Raw genomic sequence first — 22522 nt, 5'->3', positions numbered from 1 at the left:
ATTTTTCCTGTCTGTTAAATATAACAGAAAAAACACTGTCACTGACAACCAGGAGAGAGAGTACAGCATAGTAGTTAAGAATACAGGTTCTGGAATCAGTACATCTACATTTAAACTCTTCCAATTTACTTGGACAACTCTAAGCCTTAGTTTCCTCATCTCTAAAAGGGGGATACTAATAGTACTTACAGGTTTATGGTAATTTGTTAAATGGGAAACGTCATGTCAAATCCTTGAAGTTTCTGACACACAGAAATAGCTCAACAGATATTAGTTTTCTGTTAAGTTCCAAGAAATAAATGTAGCAAATGCAAAACCTAATGTTGGCCAGGTGTGGTGGCTCATACCTATAATCCCAGCACTCTGGGAAGCAGGAGGATCACTTGAGCCAGGAGCTCAAGACCAGCCTGGGCAACACAGCAAGACCCTGTCTCAAAAAAAAAAAGTTAGCCGGGTGTGGTGGTGTGTCCCTGTAGTCCATGCTACTTGGGAGGCTGAGGCAGGAGAGGACTGCTTGAGCCCAGGAGTTCGAGGCTGCAGTGAGCTATGATTTTACCACTGTACTCCAGCCTGGGTGACACAGCAAGACCCTATCTCTAAAAAAACAAAACAACCCACCCTCAGTGTTGGTAGGGCTATACAGAACTAGAGATAGGTTTGTATCATAGAATTTTAATGGTACTATATATTGATTCTTTCTTTTTAGACAAATCTCTGGCTGTCTACATGATAGGATATAAACTGTTCATATGTTTTGAAATCTTAATCCCACTTTGTATTCAAGGAGAACATGTGAAATAAGTTACTTATGAAGAATGTTTGTAGCACTGCTATTCATAACAATCTCAAATCAGAACTAACCAAAAAGCCCGGCAGTGGGGAATTGGCTAAGAAAATCACAATCTATAAATATAATGTAACCCAATGTTACCTTTAAGCACAAGTAAACAGTGATTAAGGTGGAAATTTGTAAAAAGCAGAATTAAGATAGTGCTTAGACATGGATTACAACGATGTAAAATGTGAAAATCTCTAAGAAGTCAGCAGATAAACTGAAGAGATGTCCACAGTTAGATGTACAAGTTTAGGGAGTTCCCTATTTTCTGTTAGGTTGCTTAAGTTCATCAACCTCTGAGCTTGGTCTTAAGCAAGCATGAATAGTTCTACTGATTAATGTTGCATTTTGACTTCTGCTGCTATGCCAGGGAGGATGATGGGCTGTTTTTTCTTTGATAAACAGCTTCTATGTTCTCATTTATCCATTCAACAAATAACAATGTTTATGTGCCAGGCACTGTATGAAACTGCATGGATTCAATAGTGAACGAGTCAGACATGGTTCCCGGCCTCCATGGCTCTTGTGATTTAGTGGGAAGGAAGGACACAACACCAAAAATCATATGTGATTTGGGCACACTGAAAGGATTCATGATTCTGAGGAATTAACAAGGAAAGCAAATTAGTCAGATGCACTGGGGATGATTTCTTTGAGGAAGAGATGACATAGAAGATTATCTGTTGAGGACTATGGGAGAGAGTGCAGGAGGGAACAGCAAATGGGGAGACTGGAAAGGGAGAAAAGAAAGTGTGTGTTTGAGGAACTAAAAGAAGGCCTGCAGGGCTGGAACACAGGAAGCTAAGGCAAGAGTGGTATAGATTGCAAAGAGGCAGGGAAAGTGGGAAGGGACCAGGTTATACAGAGCTTTCTTAAAGATATTGGCAGAATATAAAATGGAGTGGGGGTGAAGAGTATAAGTGAACACTGAAGAGTCCTTTATAAGCTAGTCTAGCAACCCAGATGAGAGGGCATGATTGTCTGGACTAGAGTGGTAGCATTGGCAATAGAAATACATGGATTTAAAGGATTCTTAAGATGTAGAGCAACAGGACTAGGAGGCTGATAAATGCAAAGTGAGAGGAAAGTCAAGGATGACTCCTAGATTTCTGGCTGGAGCTGGGTTGCACAGTGGTGCCATTTTCCGAGGTGGGGAACACTGATGGAGCAAGTTTGATAAGGCAAGAGCAGTTTGGGGGTTTGTTGGGTTTGAGGAGCCTAAGAAATATCTAAGCGAAGATGACCAGCAGGCAGGTAAATGGATTACAAGTTGAAGTTCAGGACAGAAGTGTACATGTGAAGTGCGTCAATCAGTCATTGACCTTGGTAGTGAATGGGAGAGCCTAGCAAGTATGTACAGGCTGAAAAGAAGAGGGCTTATGAGACAAAACCCCGAGAAGCTATAGCAAGTAAAGAAGAAACTGGCAAATAAGAGAGAGATCAAGCTGGGTGTGGTGGCATGTACCTGTAGTCTCAGCTTCTCAGCAGGCTGACGTGGGAGGATTGTTTGAGCCTAGGAATTCAAGGCTGCAGTGAGCTATGATGGTGCCAGCCTGGGTGACAGACCCTGTCAAAAAAAAAAAAATGTGATTTCAGAAAAGAGGAAAACTAGGAACAGTGGTTTGAGAAGGAGGGTTTAATGTTGCTAAGAGGCCTAATAAAATAGAAACTACTAGTGATCTTAATGTTTTATTAAGTAGTTGGGGCAGAATCTAGATTAAACTGGGTAGAAAAGTGGGAGGGAAGTGAGGAATTGTGATTGACTACAGATACTTCAGAGCTGGCTCTGAAGAAAAGCAAAAGGTCAGTATCTAGAGGGAGACATGGGGTCATGCTTCTATTTATTTTTAAAGATGGGGGAGGCCGGGTGCTGTGGCTCATGTCTGTAATCCTAGCACTTTGGGAGGCTGAGGCAGGTGGATTGCCTGAGATCAGGAGTTCGAGATCAGCCTGGGCAACATGGTGAAACCTTGCCTCTACTAAAATACAAAAAATTAGCTAGGTGTGGCAGTGTGCGCCTGTAGTCCCTGGTACTTGGGAGGCTGACGCAGGAGAATTGCTTGAACTCGGGAGGTGGAGATTGCAGTGAGTGGAGACTGCAGTGAGCCGAGACTGTGCCACTGCACTCCAGGCTGGGCGACACAGCGAGACTCCATTCCCTCCCATCAAAATAAATAAATAAATAATAGGCTGGGCATGGTGGCTCATGTCTGTAATCCCAGCACTTTGGGAGGCTGAGTTGGGCAGATCACCTGAGGTCACGAGTTTGAGACCAGCCTGGCCAACATGGCAAAACTCCGCCTCTATTAAAAATACAAAAATTATCTGGGTGTGGTGGCACCCGCCTGTAATCCCAGCTACTTGGGAGGCTGAGGTAGGACAATCACTTGAACGTGGGAGGTGGAGGTTGCAGTGAGCCGAGATAGTGCCACTGCAATCCCGCCTGGGAGACAGAGCGAGACTCCATCTCAAAAAATAAAATAAAACAAAATAAAATAAAATAAACAGTAAAGGTAGGGGAGATTTTACACACTTAAATGCTGATGGAAAGGAGGCAATAGAGAGAAACTGATGGTGATGATGTGTGTAAATTGTTTGCAGGATATCCCTGTGCAGATGGAGGGTTAGCCTTAGCTCTGAGGTCACTCTGTAATAGAAATAAGTGAAGAAGGTGCCAAAACGGGCAGATATAGGTAGGCTTGTAGACCTGGCGTCAGGGAAGTTGAAGGAGTTCATGTCTGACAGCTTCTATTTTCTCTCTAAAGTAGGAGTGAGGGTGGAGGTGAGCATTGTCCAGGTTTGAGGAATGAAGACTGAGATAGCAGCTGTGAGGAGCTGAAGCAGGAGCTGGCTAGGGAAGCAAAGCCTACTGTAGAAAACCTTGCCTGAGCCTGCATCATGGAGAAAGGGTTTTCTTCTAAATACAAGTTGCTTGGTTTTGGTACACGGAGGACAAAGATCCCGGAAACAGCCTTTGTCTTTTAATGCAAACTGCAGGATGTAAGATTTTTTCCAGAGTAATGATAATTCTTCCCTACTGCTGACACTGAAGACGACTATCACTTCGTTTGACACTCTGAGATGTTAGTTTTTCCCTACATAAGAAAATTTAAGTGTATTCAGAACTTGATTTTTCCGCCAGGCACGGTGGTTCACGCCTCTAATCCCAGCACTTTGGGAGGCTGAGGTGGGCAGATCACTTGAGGCCTGGAGTTCAAGACCAGCCTGGCCAATGTGGAGAAATCCCATCTCTACTGAAAATACAAAAATTAGCTGGGTGTGATGGCGGGCACCTGTAGTCCCAGCTACTCAGGAGGCTGAGGCAGGAGAACTGGTTGAGCCCTGGAGGCGGATGTTGCAGAGAGCCAAGATCACACCACTGAACTCCAGCCTGGGCGACAGAGTGAGACTCCATCTCAAAGTGGAATTTCAGCCTCATATTGGAACTTAGTGACCAATTTTGCCACTATTGTGCAGGGCATCTTTGCTTAGTCCCATTTATTTGATGCAATTCCTTTAAGCCCTCTTTTTTGGAGATTCCCCACGCTGCTGCTCTTGTTCAACTTCCCGTCTTTCATATACATGTAATATTAAAGGTAATTTAACACAGGACATAAAATGTAGGGTTTTTTTTTTTTTTTTTTGAGATGATGGAGTCTCGCTCTGTTGCCCAGGCTGGAGTGCAATGGCACGATCTCAGCTCACTGCAAGCTCCGCCTCCCGGGTTCACGCCATTCTCCTGTCTCAACCTCCCGAGTAGGTGGGACTACAAGGTGCCCACCACCACACCCAGCTAACTTCTTTTTGTATTTTTCGTAGAGACAGGGTTTCACCATGTTAGCCAGGATGGTCTGGATCTCCCGACCTCGTGATCTGCTCGCCTCGGCCTCCCAAAGTGCTGGGACTACAGGCGTGAGCCACTGCGCCCGGCCAATGTAGGGCTTTTAAGGTGCCCTAAACCAGCAGAGCAGTATAAGGAGCTGATCCAGATATGACTTAATATATAAAACCAAGCCAGTTATATAGGTCCTGCTGCCTAGCAGTTAATTCAGATGACAATTTCTCACTATTAGTTTCTGTAACATACCAGCTGAATATATGAAATTTAGAAACTGAGGCTAGACTACATTTAAAATGTTCAAGTGTGAAGTTCTTGCCATTTTCTAGGACAGGGAGAAAGGAATAGGTGGAAAAAGTGTGAGACGAGATGGAGGCCACGTGACTGAGCTTCTGAGTTTATTTATAAAATGAGAATAACAGTACCTGTTGAAACATGAGAACATAAGAATTAATGAGATTATATATTTCTATAGAACCTCAAAAATGTACAAGTTACTTTATATATATGGTAATATATATAATGATGCATATATAATATGCAAGGTACTTGTGTAATATGTGTGCATAAAGTACCCTGCACATTACAGAGTGATAAAAAGGTTAGTTGTTGCTATTCACCATCCTTGAATAAGTTTCTCTTTTGTACATAACAGTAATTATCAGCCATTTTTTACACAGCTGTTTAGCTGCATAGCAATATAAAACTAAGTTTTCAAACTTGTTGTTAGTCTTAAAATGGAACTGAGTAGGACAGAAGGAAAACAAGGTTTATTTTGTAGATGAGACTACTGAATCTGACAGACCCTGGATTTGACATTCATGCTCTAACACCATAGCATGTACATTTCTGTAAATACTTTTTTTTTTTTTTTTGAGATAAGAGTCTCGCTCTGTTGCCTAGGCTGGAGTGCAGTGGCACAATCTCAGCTCACTGCAACCTCCGCCTCCCAGGTTCAAGTGATTCTCCTGCCTCAGCCTGCTGAGTAGCTGGGATTACAGGCGCCCACCTACCATGCCCGGCTAATTTTTGTATTTTTAGTAGAGACGGGGTTTCGCCATGTTGGCCAGGCTGGTCTTGAACTCCTGACCTCAGGTGATCTGCCTGCCTTGGCCTCCCAAAGTCCTGGGATTACAGGCATGAGCCATTGCGCCCGGCCTGCCCCATGTAACTGAGAAATTCTACTTGGTCATTTCAATGGAATGTGTTATTAAAACATACGGTCAATATGCATATTGTAAAATTATAGTATAGTCAAAATAATTAGGTACATATCAGAAACATAATCCACTTTATCTGATCTGGTTAGGACCAGCGCTTGTGAACTTCAACATATACCTTGCCAAATGGTTGAAATATTTGTGTTTTAAACACTATTACATAGGAAACCCACTGATACTTATATTTTCTACAACCATTTATAGCTGGGTTTATATATGGTAACTTTTCTGAATTCCATATTGAGACACGGGTTGGACAAGTGTGACTATACTTACCGGGCAATACAACAGGATATCTGAAAGCAGGTTAGTTCAGTTTGATAATTGCTTAGCCCAGTTTTGAAAAACCTGCCTTCCTTTTGAATATTTTGATTAATTTTGCAGAATAGATCCTTTTGACTCTAAGAGAGAAGGGAACGCAATACCAGCAAAAGATTTTTTCCTATTTTGTGTCATGTAACATGAATGGTATGTGGTCAAGCAGGTGTGTAACTTACCGGGTACTATAGTATCCAGTGAAATACAAGTCAATTCTTAAATTCTCCTGCAATTTATAATGCTAACATTTACAAATGACATACTCAAAATTTCATAGGAGGACACTAATCTGTGGCACAGTCCAATCAGGCTAATGCATTTGGAAAATGCATTTTTTATATATATGTAGATAGATTACATATACATGTCTATACGTGTGTATATATATTTTTCTATATATATTTAAAAGACTAGTGTAGTTTAAAAATTTACTTATAAATTTACTTATAAGATGAATCGTAGGGAGTTAGGAAAGATTGCTTTCATATGCTTTAATTCTCAGATTGAAGATACTCTGATATTTAAATAAACATACTTTGCATTGTCAGAAAGATAACTTTTCCCAGAGAGGATTTGACTTTAATAGTCTAGATTAGCTGCCTAAGTCAACAGTCACTGAAATAACATTGTTTTCTTATCTTTATCTACACTTGTGGCCTATCATCAGTGACCTTTGTCACTTCTCTTGCTGTCCCTCCCTCTGTATTTCACCTCTATGGATGACTGCCAGTTCCTAATCTTTTTCCTAGCCCCATCTTCCATTAGGACTGGTTTTTATCCAAAATGTACCGACTTGAAATGGAAACTTTTTTTGATAGCTTTCTCTTTGACTTTTAGTTTCAGCTCCTGCTCACTCAGGCCTGCTATGTAACCTGTACTTATTTACCCTTACTGTGTTTTCCCTTCTCGGCTAAAAGGAACCAAGTTACTTTCTCTGTGGTCACTGAGTGGTGAGGTTATTTTGGGCCATGAGGGCTGGGGGCAGGGTTAGGCTGGGGAGGTAGCTGAAATAAGTTTCATGGCTGAAGCTCATCTTTGGTTTTCAAGTCTCATAGGCCTTGCAATCTAATTCTCATTAGGAATAGAATTAATTTGTGTACCTAACATGTCATCTGGTTGTTTACTATTTGAAACAACTGAAACACATCAGTGCTTCTGGAGGGATAGTATTTCGTTCTACTCTTGGTTCCACATTTTACAAATTACATTCCCTGCATTTTTAATTAAGTAAAAGGGCTGAGAAAGGTCACTTTTCTTCCTTTATATTTAAAAAACAAACCAACTCTAAGTCTGTTAAGTTTCAGATACAAAAATCATCCTGAAATTACCATGACATAACTAAAAACAATTCTGCCAGAATTAAGGACAGAGAGGAAAACCTATAACTATCAGGAAGAACAAATGTTTATCTGAAACAACAGGTAACCTTGGGAAGGTATCAACTATGAATTTTAGAACCAAAGAACTTTGGATATAAGGAGGAAGTGTGTGCATGGCTAATAGACAAGGCAGAGAAAAGCAGTTATTAATCCAGAGTAGCAAGTCTACCCAATCAGTGAGCAAACTGAGAGGTCCACCAGACATTAATTTTAATGAGGTTACTCAAGATTTCCCCTTTCTTCAAGCATTCCAGGAATCAGATGGAGGAAGATAGGGTAACATCATCTTTATCAAATATTTGCAAACATTATATAGATAGCTGGAAAAGCCTGTGCATGGTGAATGGAAGAGATGTCACATAAAACCGAATAACTGAGTCTCATAATATTTAGGTCTTGAATGAAGTTAGGCCTTGATCTGCTTCCAGCCAGTTGATCTCTTAATTATGTAGGCTGTGCAACAAGTTTTTGGTTCTGTTTTATAGTTTTCTTCTCTGCATTCCTCTAGATTTAATATATTCTTGATTTGTTTTACAGATCACTGCTTTTCCTCCAGAATAAGCCAATGTGGATAAGGGAGACCAAAGGAAATTAATTATATACCAATAAGAAAAGTCTTACGTAAACCCTGTGTGTAATAAATGTTCAAATAAGTTGGTTGTAAGGTTTTGGTGTACAATTTCAAGATATTTTCACAGAACATATTGCTCCCCAGTCAGGGTTAAAGTGAAACGTTCCATGGGGATAATGCAGAGGATGATATTCTTTCAGGAAAAAGAGTATTAAGCTTTCCTCTACTAGGCATCTTCCCTCAGGCACTGAGATTGCAGCCATCCAACAAATGGGGAAGGGCAGAAAGAGGAGCCTTCAAAAGTCGCAAATATACTTCAATAGCTACTTTTTAGCAAGTGTGGTAATGAGATCTTTCCATTCTCCCCTCTTCTTTGTGATGTATGCAGGGGTGAGTAGCTGCAGCAGTGATTCTGTCTGTTGCCTAAAGAAGTTCTGACACAAGGCCTCAGTGTTACATATCACGTACATCCCACAGTCATAGCTGTTTTGTTGGGCAGGGGCTTTCTCTTCCACAAAGGCCAGTTTGTCTCCTTTTCTGCCTAAGAAAGCCTCCAGTTTCTCTGCTACCTGCTTTGCGTGAACTGAGTTGCTCCTGCTATGGGAATCATAATGAAAAAAGCTATTTTTATCTTGGAGGTAGACCAATAAACTCCAGTGGGTTCCTCCAGCTGCCTGGTTGGAGTTATCATTGATGGCTAAAAATACAACTCTCTTGTTGGGGAGGTCCAGTGGTTCAAGGAACATGGCAATCTCTGCTGGGTTGCTAGTGCACTTGATGAACTGGGTGACTTCAGGGCTGATGAAACTGACGTGATCAGAGCAGTCATGAAACTGACTGTTGGCAAAGTACTCAAACGCAAACCCAATAATATGGTCATTGAGCCAGCTTGGCGGATCCAATAGTGAGACATCTGATTGCCGCAGTAGACTGTCCATGTAACTCAAGACTACGGGGTCCATCTTGTACTGACGAGGGCTGCTCAGAAATTCCAGAAGCTGAACAAGAGCTAGAAGACAATATTATTGTCAATAAATACCTGACTGTAAAATGCGGCTGGAAAATAGTAGTTACTTTTATAGGGTTGTGGTAAAAAAATACACAGTTGACCCTTGGACAAGGTGGGTTTGATCTGTGCAGATCTACTTACACATGGATTTTCTTTTGCCTCTGCCACCCCTGAGACAGCAAGACCAATTGCTCCTTTTCCTCCTCCTCTTCAGCCTACTCAACATGATGATGAGGATGAAGACCTTTATGACGATCCATTTCCACTTAATGAATAGTAAATATATTTTCTTTTATGATTTTCTTAATATTTTCCCCTAGCTTACTTTTTCGTAAGAATGCAGTTTATAATACATTAAAAAACATGTGTTAACTGGCTATGTTATTGGTAAGGCTATGTTATTGGTAAGGTAACGTGTTAATTGGCTATGTTATTGGTAAGGTTATTTGTAAATGTATATAATACATTTACAAAACGTGTTAATTGGCTATGTTATTGGTAAGGTATATATTATGCAGTATATAATACATTTACAAAACATGTATTAATTGGCTATGTTATTGTTAATTGGCTATGTTATTGGTAGTAAAGTTTTTTTTTTTTTTTTTTTTTGAGATGGAGTCACACTCTGTCGCCCAGATTGGAGTGCAGTGGCACGATCTCAGCTCACTGCAACCTCTGCCTCCTGGGTTGAAGCGATTCTTTTGACTCAACCTCCTGAGTAGCTGGGATTACAGGCATGTGCCACCATGCCCGGCTAATTTTTTTTTGTATTTTTAGTAGAGACAGGGTTTCGCCATATCAGCCAGGCTGGTCTCGAATTCCTGACCTTGTGATCCGCCCGCCTCAGCCTCCCAAAGTGCTGGAATTACAGGCGTGAGCCACCGCACCTGGCGTATTTTTTTAGGGAGTCAAATCCTACACCTAGGCTGGGTGCTGTGGCTCACGCCTGAAATCCCAGCACTTTGGGAGGCCAAGGTGGGCAGATCACTTGAGGTCAGGAGTTTGAGACCAGCCTGGCCAACATGGTGAAACCCCATCTCTACTAAAAATACAAAAATTAGCCGGGCGTGGTGGGGCATGCCTGTAATCCCAGCTACTCGAAAGGCTGAGGTGGGAGAACTGCTTGAACCTGGAAGGTGGAGGTTGCAGTGAGCTGAGATCATGCCATTGCGCTCCAGCCTGGGCAACAGAGCAAGACTCCATCTCAAAAAAAAAAAAAAAAAAGTTATACCTAGAATTTTGACTGCATACGGGGGTTGGCACTCCTAGCCCCTGTGTTGTTCAAGGGTCAACTGTAACTATAAGAAATTCTAGCTTATGTGCTACATGTAAACGATTAGTTAGAATGAGAACTGGAAACTTGCCATGTACACAGTAAGCATGAATTTTAAATATCCTCTTGAAGCACAGAGATTAAAATTATAGCTAATGTTTTACCAAACACCATACCATTAACTGTATTATTTGGCTCCTTAATGAATATGCATAATGACAACAAATTATTTTTATATTAAAGATGAATTCAAAGAATCTAAAAAGTTACTAATTTCCAAGGGAAATACTTTTCATTTCAACACTAATTTTCTTTTTCTTTTTTTTTTTGAGATGGAGTCTCGCACTGTCACCCAGGCTGGAGTGCAGTGGCGCGATCCTGGCTCACTGCAAACTCCGCTTCCCGGGTTCACACCATTCTCCTGCCTCAGCCTCCCAAGTAGCTGGGACTACAGGCGCCCGCCACAACACCCGGCTAATTCTTTGTATTTTTAGTAGAGACGGGGTTTCACTGTGTTAGCCAGGATGGTCTCGATCTCCTGACCTCGTGATCCACCCACCTCAGCCACCCAAAGTGCTGGGATTACAGACGTGAGCCACCGCGCCTGGCCTCAACATTAATTTTCAAAAGATAAGATAAAATATTGCTTCCTCCTTCCATAATGGAACGTGACAGTGATTACGGTAGTAGTTAAAAGGAACTGTAATTTTAAAAACAGAGAATCATGAGACTAATACAAATGAAATTCATTCCTGATTCTGCCCTGCTATGAGCATGAGTGATATAACATGTGTTTGCCTGTTTCATAGCTTTAGCTTCAAGGGGTATGATAAAGATGAAGTAATGTTTACAATATAAGTTAGAACTTCTTTTGACTTCTTTTAAAAGGTAGTATGGGATAAGATTCTGGAAACCTGGGTCTAGTCCTAGTTTTACCACTGATTTGCTGGTATCATCTTGAGCAGTCATTTAAATGACTTTGTCCTTGTTTTTCTAAAAAGGTATACGCCTTTTTTACAGATGGCATATAAAATCATTTAATCATTTTTGTATGCCATCTGTAAAAAAGGCATATACCCACCTTACATACCCTAGAGAGTTGTAGAGAAGACCAAATAATTTTACTTGGAAGTACTAAAAGAGTTTAAAAAGTTGTACAATAATATTTATCAATTAGATGACATTAGTAAGATAATCAGAAAATCCAGCTAGAGCTCCAAACCAATCAAAGAAAATGAGGTTTGAAAACAAATATCCATTCACATTATCTTGTCTAAATAAAAGAATGACTAATTTAGAGGAGAAGCAAGACAAGTTGTGTGATGAAATTAATATGCCTGTGACCACCCAAAGTGAGACAAGTCTGATGGGTGTAGAATATTTGAGCCTAACAGACTCAACAGAGTTAACAGAGAGTTAGCTGTTATGCAGTGACCTGGCAGCACGACAATATTTCTGAAAATCACACAGCAATAAACTGTCACATGCAGATTGAGAGTGCAAAACAAAGCATATTATAAGAAAATAGTAATAATGCTGTAAAAGACAAGACTAGAATTATGACATCAATTTAATCAATTCTGACCATTAGACCAGTTATTTTACCACTTGTCTACACTATTAAGCAATAATTTTTGTGATATAACCATTTTCGTGTAACAAAACGCTGCAAAAACCTATATGAAAAATCAATACACCCCTCAAGAAAAAAAGCCAAAGTAAATGAAGGGGCATCCAACATGGTTTTATGTAGACACAGTATGTCATAATCTGACTATTTGAGAAACAACATAAGGCTACTTATGAGAAAAAAGAAAAAATATATAATAAGATGGCATGAATTAGGATCTTCTTAAGAAAAAAAGACTAGTGGAGAGACATAAACTGGAGCCAAGAATGAAGTTAATGAGGCATAGAGCACATTTGTTATGGGTGGGCCACAAATTTGGCTCTAAGCTTTTTGGCATCTGGCCAGAGAAAGGTAAACATTCACAATGTCCATAAGACAAAAACAAAGCAATTGCTCAGGAGAGGTAAAATAATTCTTTGTATTATAGTCCGATAGTTTTTTCTCAAGAGATTTTCATAAAAGACATGGTGCATCATAACAAATAGTGCCTCACAGTATCCTTACAACAGATGAAACAGACAGGATTGTTTCCTATAATAATCTTTACTATCTAGCCTTATGGCAAATGGGCACAGATCAATCAAACAAAAGCAATTTGACAGAGTTTAGGTAATCAGCTTGTCGATGTGACTTGATGTAAGAGTTTATAATATAAAGGCAGAATGACTGCTCCCTGGCTACAGCATCTGTCTCTCATGTCTTCAATAAACACTGCATACTTGTGAGTGCCAGGTCATATAGCTTGGCAAAAACCCGGAGACCTACTCTCTACACTGCCTGCTGAAATCACACCCAGTCTTCAACACCAACCCAACTAGGGAAAGGAACCTGCAAGAAGACTGCCTCAACAGTCAGTCATCTCTCACCTTGAAGGGAATGTCCACAAGCTGGGCTAAGATTTTCTTCAGAAATAGTTTTTGTGTTTTGTCTGTTTGATTTTTAAAATACCAAGCACATAGACAAAATGTTAATCAAGGCCTTAATTCTGTTCCATACAGCATGACAGCAAGTTTAACTCCAAAAATTCTAATGCAAATAGAACTCAACTAGCCTTTAGCCAAACCCACCCTTTGCCAAAAATAACTCTAAACTTCGTATTTGAAGACTTAAATTTTAGATTCAATTCTGTTACTCATTGGCTGTGTGATCATAAATAAATTACTAAATTTCCTTAACTCTCACTTTCCTTTTCTGTAAAGTGAAAATATTTTCTATTTTTATTTTTTATAGTCCAGAGTTTTTTTTTTTTTAACACCTACCAGCAGCCCAGGCTTCTTTCTATTATTTCTCACAAAGTGTGCTTCTCTGAGGCTGGGCATGGTGGCTCACACCTGTAATCCCAGTACTTTGGGAGGATGAGGTGGGCGGATCACTTGAGGCCAGGAGTTCGAGACCAGCCTGACCAACATGGTGAAACCTCGTCTCTACTAAAAATACAAAAATTAGCCGGGCGTGGTGGTGGGTGCCTGTAATCCCAACTACTCGGGAGGCTGAGGCAGGAGAATCGCTTGAACACGGGAGGCAGAGGTTGCAGTGAGCTGAGATTGCGCCATTGCATTCCAGCCTGGGTGACAGAGCCAGACTCTGTCTCAAAAACAAACAAAAAACAAACAAAAAAGTGTGCTTCTCTGGGTGGAGCAGGCTGGTGCTTCAGGGTGAACCCAGGCTCTTTTCTCTTTGGCTTCCTTCTTTTTCTGATCATTTTCCTTCACGATTTCAGGAAGCTATCTCTGTTCTCAGAGTGCTTAATGCACTCAATATGCACGTTAATTCTCTTGGCAAGAATCTGGCCCTTGTTTGCTTACAACAATGCCAACATCATGCTGGGTATCACTGTAAACTCTTCCAGTTTTGCCATGGTAACACTTCTGGGACATTCCTTTTTGAACAGTATCCATTTCCTTGATGTCTACGATATCATATTTCTTATAGATTCGCATATACATGGCCAAAGGAACAACTCCATGTTTTTTCCAAGGCCTAGAGAACATATATTGGATACCTCTCCTCTTTCCCTTTGTGTTAGTCATTTGGCAAATTACTGGAAGATGGCATTTTGGGCCAAAAGGCAGTATTTTTTATTTTTATATTAAAGACAGGGTTTCGCTCTGTTGCTCAGGCTGGAGCACAGTGGCACAATCATAGCTCGGAGCAGCCTCAAACTCCTAGGTTCAAGCAAGTTTCTGGCTTCTGCCTCCAGAGTAGCTAGGACTGCAGGTGCGTACCACCATGCCTGGCTAATTTTTAAATTTTTGTAGAGACAGGGTCTCACTTTGTTGCCCAGGCTGGTTTCAAACTCCTGAGCTCAAGTTATCCTCCTGCCTCTGCCCCACTAAATGCTAGGATTACAGGTGTGAGCCACCGTGCCCAGCTTAAAGTGAGAATAAGAATATATGACCTTTATCATGTGGTATTTGTCAATATAAAATAAAGAAACATACATAACTAGGATTTTAAAATACAACATAAGGCCAAGGCAGGCAAACTGCCTGAGCTTAGGAGTTCGAGACCAGCCCAGGCAACATGGTGAAACTCTGTCTCTACTAAAATACAAAAAATTAGCGGGGCATGGTGGGTGCCTGTAGTCCCAGCTACTAGGGAGACTGAGGCACAAGAACAGCTTGAACCCAGGAGGCAGAGGTTGCAGTGAGTCTAGATAGCGCCACTGCACTCCAGCCTGGGTGACAGAGCGAGACTCCATCCAAAAAAACAAAACCCCCAAAACAAATAAACAAAAAAAGACAAAGTGTTTCTAGGTATCTATTATGGCATCAGGAAATTTATAACCCAATGACTGATAACTGTAATGTATTTCATTTAACAAAGGTCTACTGAGTGTTCTCCTTTGTGTCAGGGGGTGGCAATATAGAGTGAGAATGAAATAGTTTCTACCCTTACTGAGCTTAAACCTATTTTGTTATAATGAACACGTACTGCATATACCATTATTTTAGTCAATAAATACCTACTGAGCACCTCATATTAGATGCTATGGGAGATACAAAGATGTATAAGGTGGCTTCTAGTCAATGAGATAAGAAATCCATAAGAGGCACAAACAGAATGTATGGGAATTCACAAGAGAGAATAATCATTCCTGGCTAACAGGATGAAAAGGAATGAGTGCTCAGATCAGAAATGGCTTTGAGGAAAGTGGCATAAAAGTGGGCTCTTGAAGGACAGGTGGAGCTGGATGCATGTGGAAGACAGAGAGGTAAAGAAAGTGCTTTCAAATGTGGAGAGAATCTTGAATAGTCTAGCGTGCTAGAATGAAGTGGGAGTAGTAGAGGTGCAGGCAAATATTAGAGGATTCTTAGAAGCTAAGTGGTGACAGACTGAATTCCAGTGAAGGAGTTTGAAATTTATACTGGAGGAAGTGGGAGCCATTAATGGCCAGGTCAATGCTTTGGGAAGATAATAATTCAGCTATAATATATAGAACTAATTGGTAAGGGAAAAATTGAAAGCAGAGATCAATTAGATATTTTTTTCTTTTGTTTTGAGGTGAGTCTCACTCTGTCGCCCAGGCTGGGGTGCAGTGGTGCAATCTTGGCTCACTGCAACCTCTGCCTCCCGGGTTCAAGCGATTCTCCCGTCTCAGCCTCCCGCGTAGCTGGGATTACAGGTGCCTGGCACCATGCCTGGCTAATTTTTGTATTTTTAGTAGAGACGGGGTTTCACCATGTTGGCCAGGCTGGTCTCGAATTCCTGACCTCAGGTGTTCCGCCCGCCTTGCCCTCCCAAAGTGCTGGGATTACAGGCATGAGCCACTGTGCCCAGCCCAATTAGATTTTTATTGCAAGTAAAGGTAGGAGGTAATGACCTAAAGCAGGAGAAATGATAGTAGGAATGTGGAGGAATAGATATTGTAGACAGAGAATCAATAAGACTCAGTAAGTGATCAGAGGAGGGTAGATAAAACGGGAGGCAGAGGTTGCAATGAGCCGAGACCTCGCCACTGCCCTCCAGCCTGGGGGATAGAGTGAGACTCTGTTTAAAAAAAAAAAAAAAAAAAAAGAATTATGAAATGGTCTGAAGGTTTCAGTTGGGGGTGAGTGAGAGGATGATAATAACATTATCAATGGGGTGGGAGAAAAGGAGATGGAAGGGGACCTAGCAAAAAACCAAGAGCCATCTATAATCATTTAGGAATATTTTCTATGTAGTGAGCACTGTGCCTGGCATATCTGAAGTGCAATAAATGTTTGCCAGATGAATGAAATATTTTTAAAGGGAAGTCAGAAAATTTAGATTACGGGAAAAAAAGAAATAAGGCCACTTAAGATTTCTGTATTCTTTGTAACATCCTTATTCTTTGGTTTTATGCTTTGCCTGTTATCCTTTATTGTTCTGCTGTTAATAGTAAATTCGTTTAGAGTTAAAAGGATCTGTGTACTTGGTCTTGGTGGATGGTAAGCAAGACTAGGGGAAGGGCAAGAAAGGTGAGTCAACTGGGGAGCCAATGACCTCCTTATAGTTCTATTTGTAAAATCTTACCAAACACATAGTTCTATGTTTTAGGGCTAGGAAGTCTTGGGTCTAGGCTCTGACCTTGCCACTTACTATTTAAGTGATCGTGGGCAAGTTATTCTTCCTCTTTCTGGGCCTCATTTTCCTCATCTGTAAGATGAGGTAGTAATAACATAATCACAGGTTGTTACACGAATTAAAAACATGAGTGAAAACACTCAGCACCTTGTCTGATCTACAGTAGGCTCTCAAAAAAACTTAGTTTCCTTCCCTGTTCCCTATGTTTGAGGTGGCAATAATGGACCCCAAAGATTTCTTGAAAATAAAGCACTTGTCTCTTTATATAAAGCCACAAAGTTATCAAAGATGGAACTAGCCATGGCATGACTCTGCTCTTGTGCTTTATCTTTGGCATAAAGAGAGAGAATGCTAAGTCCAGGGAAAATTGTTCTCTCAATCTGAGTGAAGCAATGATGTTAATGTGTTGTCAGTATACACAAACCCTGTCATTACAGGGGTTAGTTTATTGTATCTTCCAAATTCTGTAATTAAATGAAGCTAATATTGAATTCATAAGTGTAGAACACTTCCTTAACAAAGGATTAATTTTAATAGAAGGAGATTACTTCTTATTAATCCTAAAATCCTTAAGATGCACACTACTTGAATATTTGTTATAAAAAACAAAGTAATTAAATAAAAAGTAATAAAAACCAACTTGAAGGGAAAATTCACAATTCAATAGGAGTCATTCTGATGGCCTGCTGATACAAGGGAAGAAGCTGCTGGTTCAGTAGAAAAAATATTAGTTAGGGAGTCAGACCTGGGATTCAGTTCAGATCTACAATTAACCAGTTGTTTGACTCTGGAAGAGTCACTTAACCTATGAATTTCAGCTTCATCATCTGTAAACTGAGTGGTCTGGACCAGGTAAACAGTGGTTCTAGCCAGGGAAGCATATTAGAATCATCTATGAGATTTAAAAAAATTATTTTAAGAGATGAGGTCTTGCTGTGTCGCCCATGCTGGAGTGCAGTGGTGTGATTATAGCTCACTGCATCCTTGAACTCTTGGGCTCAAGGCCATCCTTCTGCCTCAGCCTCTTGAGTAGCTGGGACTATAGGCATGCACCACCATGCCCACCTATCTGTGGGGATTTTAAAGAGCATACACCTGGGATAGAATCTGGGCCTCTGCATTTTTAAGATATTTCCAAGTTATTCTGATGTCTAAGTTTCCACTAGCTCTTTTCTAAGTTTCCACTAGCTCTATATTCTATGATTCTAAGCTGTCATCTCTGCCAATTTTTAAATTCTGTCATCCTGTTTATAAAAATCCTGCCGGGCGCAGTGGCTCACACCTGTAATCCCAGCACTTTGGGAGGCTGAGGCAGGCGGATCACCTGAGGTCGGGAGTTCGAGACTGGCCTGACCAACATGGAGAAACCCTGTCTCTATTAAAAATACAAAATTAGCTGGGCATGGTGGCGCATGCCTGTAATTGCAGCTACTTGGGAGGCTGAGGCAGGAGAATTGCTTGAACCTGGGAGGTGGAGGTTGCGGTGAGCCGAGATCACGCCATTGCACTCCAGCCTGGGGAACAAGGGCGAAACTCTGTCTCAAAAAAAAAAAAAAAAAAAAAAATCCTAAAACATTCTAGTTTTCTAGTCCAAAGGTCAGCAAATTACAGTTTGCAGGCCAAATCTGGCCCACTGCCTGCTTCTATAAATAAAGTTTTATTGGACTAAGTCATGTTCATTTGTTCACATACTGTTTATGGCTACTTTTGACCTCTAAGGACAGAGTAGTCTGCAAAGTCTAAAATATTTACTATTTGGCCTTTTAGAGAAAAAGTTTGCCAATCCCTATTCTAGATCACTGTTATGTAATCTGTAAATTTCCAGGTTGAATTAATTTTAAGAACTTTTACAATTCTAATAAAGCACTGGGGACATTTATTAAACTATCTTAAAGGCAGTTTCCAGATAAATTGACTTTTCTTTTTTCTTTTGAGATGGCATTTCGCTCTTCTTGCTCAGGCTGGAGTGCAATGGCGCGATCTCAGCTCACTGTAACCTCTGCCTCCCAGGTTCAAGTGATTCTCCTGCCTCAGCCTCCCAGGTAGCTGGGATTAGAGGTGCCTACCACAATGCTTGGCTAATTTTTTGTATTGTTTTTAGTAGAGACGGGGTTTCACCATGTTGGCCAGGCTGGTCTCAAACTCCTGACCTCAGGTGATCCACCACCTTGGCCTCCCAAAATGCTGGGATTATAGGTGTGAGCTATGGTGCCTGGCCAGATTAACTTTTAACTGGAGGTGTTATTGCTGTTTCAGTCTGGATTTTTTTTTTCTTTTTTTTTAGACTGGGTCTCACTCTGTCCCCCAGGCTGGAATGCAGTGGTGCAATCACGGCCACTGCAGCCTTGACCTCCTGGGCTCAAGTGATCCTCCTGCCTTAGCCTCCTAAGTAGCTGGGACCACAGGTGCCTCCCACCACACCTGGCTAATTAAAAAAAAAAAATGTGGCCAGACGCAGTGGCTCATGCCTGTAATCCCAGCACTTTGGGAGGCCGAGGTGGGTGGATCACCTGAGGTCAGGAGTTTGACACCAGCCTGACCAACATGGAGAAACCCAGTCTCTACTAAAAAAAAAAAAAAAAAAAATACAAAATTAGCCGGGTGTGGTGGTGCATGCCTGTAATCCCAGCTACTCGGGAGGCTGAGGCAGGAGAATCGCTTGAACCCAGGAGGCGGAGGCTGCAGTGAGCCGAAATGGCACCATTGCACTCCAGCCTGGGCAACAACAGCGAAACTGTCTCAAAAAAAAAAAAATTTGTAGAGATGAGGTCTCATTATGCTGCCCAGGCCGTCTTGAACTCCTTGGCTCCAGTGATCCTCCTGTCTAGCCCTCCCAAAGTGCTGGGTTGATAGGCGTGAGCTACCTCACCTGGACTCAATCTGGATTTTTAATGAATGGAAATGCTTAAAAATACTAATTTACAATGGATATTAACGATAATTGTCTATTTTATAGATGTATAAGTATTTATTTTATGGGATTAAAATATGTATTAGAGTTTTAAATTAACAAGGATTTTATATGGCATACAGCAATTCTCAAAACTTCAGGGAAAATAAGCCTGTTGGCTATTGACTTAAGTAGTACTCCAGATAAATCTGTTTTACTGAAAACATACTATTCCAGAATTGTGACCTTTACTCATTTTTTTCTAATTATTCAGTAAGCATTCCTTAAAAAAATAAAAAGAGAGAAACAGCCTCATTCAGGTATGTTTTTTAAAAACATTACAAAGTAAGTGCAGATTATAAAAGTCAGTTGTTTCTAAATGCTATTGCCTTCCTCACTCGCTTTGGCTACGATTTTAAGTTGTACCAAACTACAAATGCTCAGAGATGCATCTGTACTTCTCTAAATGGATACATGCCCATGTGCCAGCAGATAGCAACAAAGAAAGTCCAAAAAACAAACACAAGTTAATCACAGGGCATCTTCCTAGAGCTTTAATTTGACCAACTTTAGGGGAAAGAGCTAAACCACTTAATCATTGACTTAAAACATTTAAATCAGCAACTAAAAATATTTTAATTATTAACATAAACTTGGGCATAAAATGCAAAATCAGCATGAAATTTAAAAATAAAATATGAGAATCTCACAGAACTTTTGCAACTGTGGCAGGCAATTTTTTCTGTTTCATTCAGTCTCCTCTGTTGGCTTGGATACTTCAGGGGAACAGTCTAATAATTACCTATAGCTGATGTGTTTATGACATAAACCTCAAATTCTTAGGAGTCAGATTCCCTAATAATAAAGGAATGAGCACAAGCTTATGCTTTAGCAGCTTAAATGTGTACAGGAGAGAAACATTTATTAAAGTAAATTTATTCATTTGGTTAAAATATATTTATTGGTGTCTTATGTGTCCCAATTTTGCCTGCCATAATCAGACTGAAAATTGAACCTGGTTACTATATAATGGATTACAGACATCATCCAAGAGTTAGTTTTTTTCTTTCTCTCTCTCTCTGTTTTTTCTTCTTCCCCTCCCCTCCCTCTCTCCCCTCTCCCCTTTCCCTCTCTCTTTCTTTGAAAACGTCTCACTCTGTTGCCCAGGATGGAGTGCAGTGGTGCAATCATAGCTCACTGCAGCCTTTAACTGATGGGCTCAAGTGATCCTCCCACCTTGGCCTTCCAAGTAGCTATATGCACTATACGTGCATACCACCATGTCTGGCTAATTAATATTTTTTTTTATAGAGGCAGGGTCTCACTATGTTGCCCAGGCTCATCCCAGAGTTTTCTATTGTCTTCACACTTCACATCCAATTGACAAGTCCTGTTGATTCTATAGCCTAAATGTTCTAAATCTGTCCAATGCTTTCCATCTTCACTACTATCACCTTAGTCAAATCTATCACCATTTCTTTCTTGACCTAGCCTAACAGGTCTCCTATTTCCACTACTGACTGTGCCAATAAATTCTCCATCAAAATAATTGTTTAAAAATTTAAATTAGGCCAGGTCTGTTCCCTGCTTAGGAGTCTCTAGTAGCTATCATACTCAGAAAAAAATGAAAATTCCCTACCCTAGTTTACAAAACCCTACATGAAAATGTGGCTTCAGCTATTTCTCCAACCTTATCTCCTATTATTTCCCTGCTTGCCCACTAAGACCCAGCCACAAAGACTTTCTTTTTACTCCTCAAATACACCAAGCTTTTTCCCTCCTGAGGGTGGTACTAGCTCTGCCTGGACCTTCTAGTAATTAGCTTCTTCTTTGGACAGATCTTAGTTTAAATGCCACTAAGTCACAGAGGTCTCAGGGCAGCCAAAACAAAGAGGCCACCAGTTACTATCACTCTAATTTCAATTCCTTGAATAGCACTGATTACTATGTGATAGTTTTTTAATTTATTTGTTTATTGGTTCATATTCTTTTTTCCTCCCCCTGCCTCTTCTCTTTCCCTCTCCAAAACAAGAATGTAAGCTCTATGAAAATAAGACGACGAGGGGCCTTGTCTGCCTTGTTTGCCATTTTAACCCCAGGACCTAAAACAGTGCTTACCAGGCAGGTACTCAATAAATAATTGTAGAATAAATGAATAAGTAATTGAGTATACAGCTCAACATAATATAAATCAAGTTCGGCAGAGAAATGTTTACATTTAGAGTCTGGGAAGTGAAAGCGCCTTTACTATCACTTCTAATCTAATTTCCTACTCCATGCAAGAATTCTTCATTTCTGCTCTGAAAGAGAAAGGTGCAGAACCTTGACTTAAAACTAGGGGTGTGGTATTGGAGCAGAAGTAGATAAATCAATAGCATAAAAAAATCATATGTAGATTAGAAATTTTAAATATGATGATGGAGTCTTTACAAATCAATGAGAGAGTCTGTTCTCATAGTGTAGTAGTAATCATGTTTGCCTGACAAATCAGGAGAAATTATGGATTATTCCAGTGTTTTCAGCGTGTTCACGTGTTCCACTGAACATTATGTTCCCATAGCAGTGCTGTCCAATAGCACTTCTTGTGACGGAAATTTTCCTATTTTTTGAGATGGAGTCTCACTCCGTCGCCCCGGCTGGAGTGTAGTGGCGCAATCTCGGCTCACTGCAACCTCTGCTGCCTGGGTTCAAGCGATTCTCCTGCTTCAGCCTCCCGAGTAGCTGGGATTACAGGCAACTGCCACTGTGCCTGGCTAATTTTTTGTAGTTTTTTAGTAGAGACAGGGTTTCACCAGCTTGGCCAGGCTGGTCTTGAATTCCTGACCTTGTGATCCACCCACCTCGGCCTCTCAGCGTGCTGGGATTACAGGCATCAGCCACTGTGCCTGGCCCGGAAATTTTCTTTTATCTGCAAAATGTTCAATACAGTAGCCACTAGCCCCTTGTGGCTATTGAGTTCTTGAAATATGGTCAGTGTGACTGAAGAACTGAGTAATTTTAATTAACTA

The 22522-nt window shown here is 40.6% G+C and overlaps 1 protein-coding gene and 1 pseudogene across 7 annotated transcripts in view, besides 2 other annotated features; both read right to left on the bottom strand.

The window, feature by feature from the left end:
- Nucleotides 1–5054: 5054 nt before the first annotated feature.
- Nucleotides 5055–22522, bottom strand: part of SENP8 (SUMO peptidase family member, NEDD8 specific) — a 29435-nt gene continuing 11967 nt past the window's right edge. For 4 of the 7 annotated variants that reach the window (NM_001166340.2, XM_005254157.4, XM_011521217.3 and 1 more), the window contains exon 2: nt 5055–9170. In NM_001166340.2, coding sequence (NP_001159812.1) covers nt 8485–9123 — 639 coding nt within the window. In that variant the 5' untranslated portion in view covers nt 9124–9170 and the 3' untranslated portion in view covers nt 5055–8484. Of the gene's footprint in view, nt 9171–9311; nt 9436–22522 lie in introns of all 7 variants that reach the window. The other 3 variants (NM_001172109.1, NM_001172110.1, NM_001172111.2) reach the window with 2 other exon arrangements.
- Nucleotides 6885–6974: an enhancer, noted in NCBI's record as "active region_9712". NCBI's record gives its function as "activates an Ori minimal core promoter by ATAC-STARR-seq in GM12878 lymphoblastoid cells {active_cell/tissue: GM12878}" and the evidence as "EXISTENCE:reporter gene assay evidence [ECO:0000049][PMID:35858748]".
- Nucleotides 13692–14145, bottom strand: RPL21P115 (ribosomal protein L21 pseudogene 115; annotated as a pseudogene).
- Nucleotides 16552–16711: an enhancer, noted in NCBI's record as "active region_9711". NCBI's record gives its function as "activates an Ori minimal core promoter by ATAC-STARR-seq in GM12878 lymphoblastoid cells {active_cell/tissue: GM12878}" and the evidence as "EXISTENCE:reporter gene assay evidence [ECO:0000049][PMID:35858748]".

This window comes from Homo sapiens, chromosome 15 (assembly GCF_000001405.40).
Source record: "Homo sapiens chromosome 15, GRCh38.p14 Primary Assembly".
NCBI lineage: Eukaryota > Metazoa > Chordata > Mammalia > Primates > Hominidae > Homo > Homo sapiens.
This window is presented reverse-complemented; position numbering and strand designations above follow the sequence as displayed.